The sequence below is a fragment of the Homo sapiens genome, chromosome 10 (assembly GCF_000001405.40).
Source record: "Homo sapiens chromosome 10, GRCh38.p14 Primary Assembly".
NCBI classification, from domain to species: Eukaryota; Metazoa; Chordata; class Mammalia; order Primates; family Hominidae; genus Homo; species Homo sapiens.
The window spans coordinates 80,618,278-80,629,275 of NC_000010.11; the positions used below are offsets into that span (position 1 = coordinate 80,618,278).

At 43.9% G+C, this 10,998-nt stretch overlaps 1 protein-coding gene across 3 annotated transcripts in view; it reads left to right on the forward strand.

The window, feature by feature from the left end:
- SH2D4B (SH2 domain containing 4B) overlaps positions 1-10,998 on the forward strand; it is a 108,659-nt gene that overhangs the window by 80,376 nt on the left and 17,285 nt on the right. The gene's annotated exons all lie outside the window — the stretch shown is intronic.

Sequence of the window (10,998 nt, forward strand, 5' to 3'; positions counted from 1 at the left end):
ATAGCCAGTTTCAGAAGTCATTTTACTGGGTGATACCACTCTCTCATGAACAGCAGCATTGGTGATTAGAACCTGGCAGGTCAGCTTGGAGCAGACATTCATAGGCATGGATATTGCCTCTTGTGCATAAATATATCTGGGACCAAGAAACTCGTCCAGTGAAACCCTTGTCTGAGCAGTTAGCCATGGTTAAATTTCATTTGGCGTTATAAAAAAAAGAAGGCCTTTGAGCTCATTCATCACAATCTCTGTGGCTTTAGGATGCTTTGAGATACTGTTGAGAATGAAGAGCTTAATAATTCCAGCCTCCTTAATGATACTGTCTGGAAAGTATGGCGGTCAGAAAGGAAAGTCACAAAAATGAATGAGAAATAGCTAAGTGGTAATGGAGGTGTTGTCAGCCGTTGAGGCGTAGCTGCGGTGAAAGCTTTAAGAAATATGCACGTCAGATAAATTGAGGTCCATAAAAAGTGAAACGTCGTGGCTGGCCTGCCTGCGTTTCTTTCTTTTGAGGGTGAAGTCCTAACCGAGAAATAAAAAGAGCTCATTTGGTTACTCAGGTTCAATTCTGAGCTAATAATTTCAGGGAACGGAATGGAGGTGGAGGGGCTGGGAACAGAATTCTGGGTTGGCTTTGAGGATTTGCTAACATACGGATTTATGGCTCTGTTATTGCAGAGTGTCTTCTGAAAGTATACTTACAATGCCTTTCCTTTCCCGGGGTGCAGCTGATTAGTGCCCATGGAGTAAATATTGTAATAGTGAACATGAAGTTGTTGGTGCTATCTGAGAACATCTGTATGGAATTCAGGGAGACGAATAGGGGAGGTGTCAGGAAGGATGCACCGGGATTTGTGCTCAGGGTGTAGTAACAGAGGAGTTAGGCACTGTTGGCCGCACTGAGGTGGGGCCAGCGGGGCTGCAGTGGCCTGCCTGTGATAGTCAGTGCTGGCACAGGAAGGGTGAAAGCAAGCCTGGACTTGTTTGTCAGGCCAGTGTTCCTCAGCTCTTCTGCATTCCCTGCCTTCTCATCTTTACTCACTGCAGCCTGTAACCATGGGAGAGAGGGTAGCTACCCTGAAGGATCTCTGTCCCTGTGTCACAGCCCTGTCCTGTTCTACAGAGGCCCAACCGGGAGTGCTATGGTCAGTATGGCAGCCTCAGGTGCTTGGGCCCAGAGAAGCTCTGGACACCTGCAGATGGGCCCAAATGTGTCTCTCCTGAAGTCTCCATCAAGGCCCCCAATCTAAATGCTGGGCTTCTGCCTCAGTTCCCTTAATTATAACTCTGTTCACTTCTGCCACTGACCCTTGGACTTTGTGGCTTAGGCCAAGGCCTGGCTGCAGCAGCCACTGTGGTCCTATCATCCATTGTCCTCCTGGGATTGTTTCACTTAATATGGCCAATAACTATGGGTGATACTAATGTAATTCCATCTGACCACTTAAGAGAGATTTACTTGTTCAAGATCAGGCCATAGTGGCAGAGAGATGATTGGAAATTGCTTTGTTTGGCTTTAGCACCAGCTTTCAACAGGATAGTATATTTAATCTCTTTGTCCTTGGGGATGGATCTACCCAAACTGAAAAGACTCTGTCCTGGAGTCTGGGCACACTTCCGTTTTGCAGATGTTTGCAGCCACTCCTTACCCTCCACATCAGGCTTCTTTGGGCATTGCTTCTTGAACTGTGGTCAGCCTTAAAATTGGTTAGGACTTGGAAATGATATCTTGGCTCATCCAAAACAGCAGTCTGCTGAGAGACTTCAGTAGGCTTTGTGGCAGGAACAGGTTATACAAATCCACACCTTGCCCACACGTTCTCCAGGTCATTGTGCATGGAAGGCTGATATGGTTGGGCTCTGTGTTCCCACCCAAATCTCATGTTGAATTGTAATTCCCAATGTTGGGAGAGGGACCTGGTGGAAGGTGATTGGATCATGGGGGGCGGTTCCCCCCCTTGCTGTTCTCATGGTAATGAGTGAATTCTCATGAGATCTGGTTGTTTAAAAGTGTGTGGTACCTTCCTTTTCACTCTCTCCTGCCCACCTGTGAAGATGTGCTCGCTTCCCCTTCACCCTTCCGCCATGATTATAAGTTTCTTGAGGCCTCCCAGCCATGAAGGTCATGGAAAATGGCCATGCTTCCTGTACAGCCTGTGGAATTGTGAGTCAATTAAACCTCTTTTCTTCACAAATTACCCATTCTCAGGTAGTCTTTATAGTAGTGCGAGAACAGAGCAATACAAAGGCTCTGGATGTAGAATCTGGATGTGGGTTGTACCTGGGGAGGACAGGTTGCTTACTGTCTAATAAGAGTACAAGCCTTGTGAATATGACTGACTTAAAAGAATGCTGCATCCCTATCCCAGCTCTGCCATTTATTAGCTACAAGACCTTGGCAAGTAACTCAGTCTCTCTTAGCCTGATTTTCCACTCTACAAAAATGGGGAGAATAAAAGTATCTACCTCAAAGAATTGCCACAAGGATTGAATGAGCTAGGGCTTATCAAGCTCTCAGCACAGTGGTTAACATAATGCCAGGATTCCATAAATGCTAGTTATGGGATTGTAATTCTAATTATTCAGTGATTTATTCAACACTCTTTATTGAGGGCCTAAGTTCCAGACACTATTCTAGACATGAAAATATAGTAGGGGAAAAACCCACAGAATTCTTGTTCTCATAGATCTTATGTTTGCAAAATTTTGATAATTTTTAAATAAACTCTTATGGAAACTATGTTTCTTGCATAAATTATACCATACACTACAGTTTTCTTGTTCTATAACTTTTCTTTTTATTCAGTTGTCAACGTTTTTAAGAGATTAATGGTCTATGTCCATGTAAGTGGTTCTCAACAGGGTGACTGTGCCACCAGGGGACATTTGACAATATCTGAAGACACATTTGATTATCATAACTGGGAGATGCTTTTGGCATCTAGCAGGTAAAGGCCAGAGATGCTGCTAAACATCCTGCAGTGCACAAGGCAGCCCCGCCGGACAGGCAAAATGTCAGCAGTGTTGAGAAACTACGTCTATATTTTTATCTACATCTCCTTCAGACTTAAATTTTTTCTAGGAGGAAGTGCAACAGATGGAGCTTCTTATTTACTTGTTTTTATAAGTGATCTCATCTTACTTTGGTCCTACATTTCCTGTTGATGACTAAAAATAAATAACTTAAAATTTCCCATTAAAGATAATCCTATCTCTGGTGTAAGAGTCTCAGTTTAACTGTGATTTTCTAGCAAATATTCAGTCATTTTAAGCTCAGAGTTCTGCTTCTCCTTGCTTGATGGGTCTCTCCAATGTCATTTGCCTTCGTCAAATGTCGTCTGGGTATAGGGAGAGCTCACAGCCTTGGGAGGATGCCAAAGAAAGGCCCTGGTCAGTGGCTCATCTATGGGCCTTGTCCTGTTTTAGCACATCTACTGCTGATGGTCCACAGCTGGTGGAAGGCTGGTCTGATTTCCAGCACAGCAGGGGTCTGAGGGTCCCCTTCCCTGCAGTGATCATCCCCTAAACATGACCTGGCCCTACCTTGACTCTTTCTGGGGTCTCTTTGCTATATAGCTGGGATTACAGGTGTGCACCACCACGCCTGGCTAATTTTTGTATTTTTAGTAGAGATGGGGTTTCACCATGTTGCTCAGGCTGGTCTCAATCTCCTGACCTCATGATCCTCCCACCTCAGCCTCCCAAAGTGCTGGGATTACAGGTGTGAGCCACCACGCCCAGCTGAATTTTGCCTTTTTTCTTGTGGCCACTTGGGGAGCTGGACCATTTTTAATTATTTCTACCTTTTAAGAAGTCCTAAGTGCTGAGAGTTGAGTTCATCAGCCATCCCTCCCCTGCCCACCCCCATGGCTTATTATCATCAGAAGACACAGGCTATTTCTTATTAATTTACTTATTCTCCTTCATTTTCATTCCCTTTCCTCTCCAATAAGCAGCCATTCTGATAGGCTTCACATGTATCTGTTGAAAGGGTTCTTATGTATACATTGTGTATATATCACCTTATAGGGAAGTTGTTCTGCTCCTTACTTTTTCACATGATGATGTTATATGTGATTTGACCTCGATGATTTTCTGTGGCTAAGTTTTACATGAAATTAGTTTTCCTGAATTTTTGCAGTTAAACGAGGGCCAGGAAAGTATTTCTAACTCCACGGAGCTGCTGCTTGTGTAGTTTTTGTGTAGTGTTCCCAAACAGGGCAGCTTGCTTTCTGAAGTCTCCAGGCTCTGTCCCTTCCCCATGGGTCTATACTTTCTCTTTCTTTCCTCTATTTGCCTGTATTTTGCTCAATTTTGATTTCACTCACAGTGGTGGCAGGTGGCCCTGGAGGGTCTCATGGTGGGCTCCTTGCACTCACCCAGGGTTGGGGAGGGCAGAACTCTCCCTATTTTCAGCTGCCACTCTCAGTTGGTCTCCTGCTTTCCAGTGAATTCTGTTGACTGCTCTTGGATCCATTAGCCACCCTTGTTGTTTATTTCTTCTTTCTCCTGTATAGACATTGGTATCATGAAGGTCTTGTGTTAGTGGTTTATTCCTACCACCATTTGTATTTGGGGTTTTCTCGGCCCATTTGAGCTGTTATAGCAGAATACCTGAGACTGGATAATTTTGTTTGTTTTGTTTATTTATTTATTGAGATGGAGTCTCACTCTGTCACCCAGGTTGGAGTGCAGTGGCGTGATCTCAGCTCACTGCAACCTCCTCTCCCGGGTTCAAGCGATTCTCCTGCTTCAGCCTCCCGAGTAGCTGGGATTACAGGCGTGTGCCACCACACCTGGCTAATTTTTGTATTTTTAGTAGAGACGGCGTTTTGCCATGTTGGCCAGGATTGTCTCGAACTCCTGACTTCCGGCAATCCGCCTGCCTCGGCCTCCCAGAGTGCTGGGATTACAGGCGTGAGCCGCCGTGCCTGGCCGAAACTGGATAATTGATAAAGAACAGAAATTTATTGCCTTACAGTTCTGGAGGCTGGGAAGTCGAAGATCAAGGCATAGGCAGGTTTGGTGTCTGTGAGGGCTCAGTCCTCGCTTTGAAGATGGCACCTTGAATGCTGTGTTCCCTCACAGCATAAAGGTAGAAGAGAATGAACCTGCTGCTTCATAAGGAGCCTAATTCCATCCATGAGCCCTCCATCCTCACTACTTAATTATCTCCTAAAGACCCCTTCTGTTAATACCATTATGTTGGTGACTAAATGTCAACATATGAATTTTTATGGGCACAGACCATAGCAAGGCTCGTGGGGATATCTCATGACCTAATTTGTTATAAACCTAGTCTATGGACTTCTGGTTTTGTTCTTTAGTTGCACTGCCTGTTCTTATTTGGAGATTTGGAGAGATTTTAAAATGATGTTGCTGCCCCTGTAGCCATCTTCCCAGAATCTACTCCCCTTACCCCATACTTACCTATATTTACATGAATCGTGAGGTGCTTTAAATATCATTTGTGTTTACTTAGCTCACTGAGCATCATGCCATTAGATGCATGCTGTGTGTGGCTCTGTTGTATTATTTCCAACTGCTGTACAGTACTCCACTGGGTGTATCCGCCTAATTTCACTGATCTACTCCCCAAGTCATGGAAACCCAGATTGTCTACAATTAATCATTTAGTTCCTTGCATTGGATCCTTATGGACCTGTGCAGTGTCTTTCAGCAGTGGAGTTGTTGGGCTAGAGGGTGCATGTGTACTTTATTTAACGACGGGGGCTGATGGCTCTCGGAAGGCTGATCTAGTTTCCACTCCCCCAGCCGTATATTAGGGTTGCTCTACCTGTGCGCTCCAAATCCCACTCTAGAATGTGGCAGAACTCCTGGATCCCCTCCATTCCTCACTGGAACTTGGTGAGGCTGGGAATCACCATCTTTAGACTTCTCTCTCTACACATACCATTTCTGCTTAGCTGTGGCTACATTATGCAGGTGCAGGGTAATTGCTAGACTCTCCAACAGAAACTAGGGTATAGGACATTCTGCTTTCAGCTACCTTCTCAGACCTTCTGGGGTGTGGGTTGCAGAAGAGGGATTAAGGACAGCTCCTCCAGTTCTTCTCTGCCTCTTCCCAGCTCTAGCCTAGAAAACGCTCTTTCCTTCTCTTTCCTGTCTGGCAGGGACCTTCATAGGACCTATCCTATAATCCCCTCTAGAATAGGTTTATAAAACTCTATGTTCAGATCTCTAAGTATTGCTCTGAATATAGAGGGAGTTTCTAGAATGTGAGAGTCACTTTTTATATCTCTGCCATTCCTGGCTTGCAAGACTACTGACTTTCTAGCCCAGAGTCTCAAACCTGGCTACATGTTAGAATCAACTGAGAATGTTTTCAACCATACCACTGCTTGATGTAACCCAGATGAATTAACCAAACTCGCTCTAAGTGGGACCTGGGCATCAGCCAAGGCTGAGAACCATACTTCAGGGACACAGACAACCAGCATGGAAATCGAAAACTGATTAGTGACTCTGTTGTTCTAGGTGGTAACCTGCACTGCCTCCAAAGGACATTGATCAATTTTGAATGAATGCCATAGCAGTAATGTGTGAGAAGCTGCAGAACAACAATATTAAAATATTTTTAATATTAAATATTGAATACTTACCATATATGTATATACATATGTGAAGGGCATAAAGAAAGCTTAAGTGGGAGCAGCACCAAATCCTAAAGCCCTCACCTGTGTGCTTCTCTCCATTGTAACCTCTTTTTAACAGATATGATCCCTATGCTGAATATTTTGTCCATTATTTCTTTGCTTCATTTATTGCTATATATTAATCTCCAAATGTTTAGCATTGTGAGCTTTTCAACCTAATATAAATGTCACAGTGTATTTATTTTTCAGTTATTTGCTTTTCTCATGCTTCATTGAGAACGTTTTTTTTTCTCATTCCATTTTTCCACCTCTGTTATTTGGAGATTTTACCACTCTCAATGTCTATCTTCCAGTGGTTAATTTAGACGATTTAATATGTACACTTAGCAGATTCTAAAGTTAATGCGGCTGTCCCTTGGTTTCTTTGGGGGATTGGTTCCAGGAACCCCTGTGGATACCAAGATATGCAGATGCTTAAGTTCTTTATGTAAAATGGCATAACATTTGCATAAAACATATGCATATCCTTCTACACTTTAAATTATTTCTAGATGACTTATAATACCTAATATGATGTAAATGCTATGTAAATAGTTGTAATGTATTCTTTTTATTTGTATTTTTAAAATTGTTTTCTTGTTTTTTATTCATTTTTGGTTTTGAATTTTTTTTCTTTTTCTTTTTTTTTCTTTTTTTGAGACAGAGTCTTACTCTGTCGCCCAGGCTGGGGTGCAGTGGTGTGATCTTGGCTCACTGCAATCTCTACCTCCCGGGTTCAAGCGATTCTCCTGCCTTAGCCTCCTGAGTAGCTGGGACAACAGGCCTGCACACCATGCCTGGCTAATTTTTGTATTTTTTTTGTAAAGACAGGGTTTCACCATGTTGGCCAGGCTGGTCTCAATCTCCTGACCTCAAGTGATCTGCCCACCTCAGCCTCCCAAAGTGCTGGAATTACATGTGTGAGCCACCATGCCTGGCCTGTTTTTGAATATTTTTGATCTGTACTTGGTTGAATCTGCAGATGCAGAGCCCACAGACAGGGAAGGCTGACTCTATATATCTTTACTCTCACCCTAAACAAAATTTTGAAACTCCTACTCCCTACTGCTAAGATATTGTCTAGTATTATAGTTCCATCTTTTTCAAAACCTCAAATTATCCATTTTTATTATTGTCTTGTAAGTCAACTTTTTTAGGTTGACCTGCAGTATCTGTGCTCATCATTTGTTCCGGTATCTCTGATTTTCTATCCAGGATAATTTTTTTTTTTCTTCCTGAAGTACATCCTTTAGAATTTCCTTTAGAAATCAACCAGCTCAAATTATTTTCTGAAGATTTTTTATTTTATTCTTTTCCTTGAAAGGTAGTTTCGTTAAACACAGTTATTTTTCTCTCAGCATACTTGAAACTTTTATTCCATTGTTCTCTGGCTTTTATGGTTGCAACTGAGAAGTCTGCTGTAAGGCTAATTATTTATTCTTTGTAGTGATTTGCATTTTCTGTCTGGTTGACAAAAGAAGAATGGAATATCTTTGCATAGTTTTATAGTATGTGTCTGTGATAATTGTTAACTATTCACTCTTAAAATATTGCCTCCTCTCCTCTCCTGTGGGACTCGGATTCTATATATGTTAGACTTCCCATTCCATCTGCCATGTGTCTTAACCTCCTGAGATTTAGATTAAGCTTCTCTCATGTTAGATTTATATAAATGCCCCATGGGTGTGTCATGCCTGGTCTTCATTCTGACTTTTCACTCATCTTGTCCCTTCTCTCCCTCACACCTCATTACTACCCCTCACTGCTTACACAGAATCTATCTGGCCTTCAAGGCCCACCTCACATTCCCATTCAGTGCCTCCACAGAGCCTTCCCTGATTTCTCAACCTCTTCCTTCTTGTTTATTTCACAGCATTTACCATCCTTTGCATGAGACAACATGGTATAGAACAGAGAGAGCACTGGACTTGGAGTCCGAGGACCTGAGTTCAGATCTGCCTCCACCACTTAATAGATTCTCTGTGACTATTAAGCCCTGTGACTTTGGGTGAATCCCTTCTTTTCCTGACATTCAGTGTCCTCAGTTGTGAACTGGTTATAACAGGGTTGATAGGAAGACCAAAGGAGAAGGGTCACAGAGGCCCCAGATCGTGCCTAATGCTGGCTGTGACATAAGCGTCTCACAGGAGCCTGAGTGTGTCGTTTAACCTCTGTGCGTCAAAATGGAAGCCATTTCTGGGAGGGTAGGGGTCAGAGAGCCAGATATCAATGGTACACTGTGAAATGTAGCCATGAAGCAATTCTTAAGTGAGGAAGCCCTCACTGAGCTGAAATCCTTGGCTCTGAACCGTAATCCTTCAATCCATTTTCCACACTTGAACATTCTTATATCTTTCTTCTGTATAGGAAACATCAGTGGCTGTCCGCTGCCCTCAGAATTAATCCTTTCAGTGGTATGGAGAGCCCTTTGGAGCTTGACTGCTGCCTATCGTACACCTCTGGCCATTGCCCAGCTCCCAGCTTAGCCCTCCCTCCAGCCACAAAGAGCCACTTGCTAATGACTTTTGCAATCTTCCCTCCTTGCCTTGCCCCCTCTTGTCCCTTTCTGGACTCAGTCTAAACATCACTTCCGCCGCTGGGCTCCAGAACTGGGTGGGGTGCCTCCCTTAGGTGCAGCCACAGTGCCTGAGCCAATAGCTTATGTGGCCTTTATCACCATTGCTCACAGTTAGCCTTTTATTTTTATATTACAAAATTCCCATCAATCTTCATTTCTGTCCAGAGTCAGAGCTTCTAGAAGGCAAGAACTGTGTCTCATTCACTGCTGACTCCCAGGTGCCAAGTTTGGGGCCCGGCTTCTAGATGGTGCTTCATACATATTTATTAAAGGGAGGAAGAAGAAAAGGAAGAAAAGGAAGGAAGCGGGGAGAGAAAATGTTCCTGGAAACTATAGGAAAAACAATGTTTACCATTGTCTGGGAATGAGAACTGGCTCAGAATCAATCTTCAGTTGCATTCTCCAATATTCATTCTAAAATTGTCACCCTGGAGCGTTGGCTGGTTAGGCTGCATCCCTTAGCCAGGCCCAGTCATTAGCAGAGTGAGGAAGTTTCAAGGACTCGGACAGTATGCTAGCTCCCCAGCTGGAAGGGGTGAGGTAGGGCCTTCCCCTGTTTCCTCAGCCAGGAGGTTGTAGGGTGCTCAGAAGAAGCAGAGGTGGGTGATGATTCATGCTTAATTCCCAGACCCTCTGTAGTTGGCTGAGAGGCAATCCAGGGGGAGAGAGAGATCAGAGGGTGATATGGTTTTGCTGTGTCCCCACCCAAATTTCATCTTGAATTCCCACGTGTTCGGGAGGGACCCAGTGGGAGGTAATTTGAGTAATGGAAGCAGGTCTTTCCTGTGCTATTCTCGTGATAGCAAATAAGTCTCATGAGATCTGTTGGTATTATAAGGGGGAGGTTCCCCACAGAAGCTCCTCTTTTTGCCTGCTGCCATCCACGTAAGATGTGAGTTGTTCCTCCTTGCCTTCTGCCATGATTGTGAGGCCTCCCCAGCCATGTGGAACTGTAAGTTCGATAAACTTTTTTAAATTGCCTAGTCTCAAGTATGTCTTTATCAGGAGCATGAAAACGGACTTATACAGAGGGCAAAGTGAATGGGGAAGGAAAACATAGATTCTCCTTGCAAGCATCCTATGCTAATTCTCTTGAGGGGTTGGGTTTTCTATGGAATGCTGTTTGCTATCCTGAACTATGAGGTTATATTACCTTTGGTTTTGTGCCAAATTGCAATTTTGATTTCTAGGCAAATGTATTAGGCCATTCTTGCATTGCTATAAAGAAATACCTGGCCAGGCGTGGTGGCTCATGCCTGTAATCCCAGCACTTTGGGAAGCTGAGGCGGGTGGATCATGAGGTCAGGAGTTTGACCACCACCAGCTTGACCAACATGGTGAAAGCCCGTCTCTACTAAAAATACAAAAATTAGCCAGGCATAGTGGCGCATGCCTGTAATCCCAGCTACTCAGGAGCCTGAGGCAGGAGAATTGCTTGAATCTGGGAGGTGGAGGTTGCAGTGAGCCGAGATCGTGTCACTGCACCCCAGCCTGGGTGACAGAGCGAGACTCTATCTCAAAAAAAAAAAAGAAAAAGAAAAAGAAATACCCAAGACTGGGTAACTTACTAATATATAGAAAAGAGGTTTAATAGACTCCCAGTTCTATAGGCTGTACAGGAAATATGGCCCTAGCATCTGCTCGGCTTCCAATGAGGCCTCAGGAAGCTTCCTATCCATGGTGGAAGGCAAAGGGGAAGCCAGCATATCACATGGCGAGAGGGGATGCAAGAGAGAGAGAGTGAGGGGGAAGATCCTACAGACT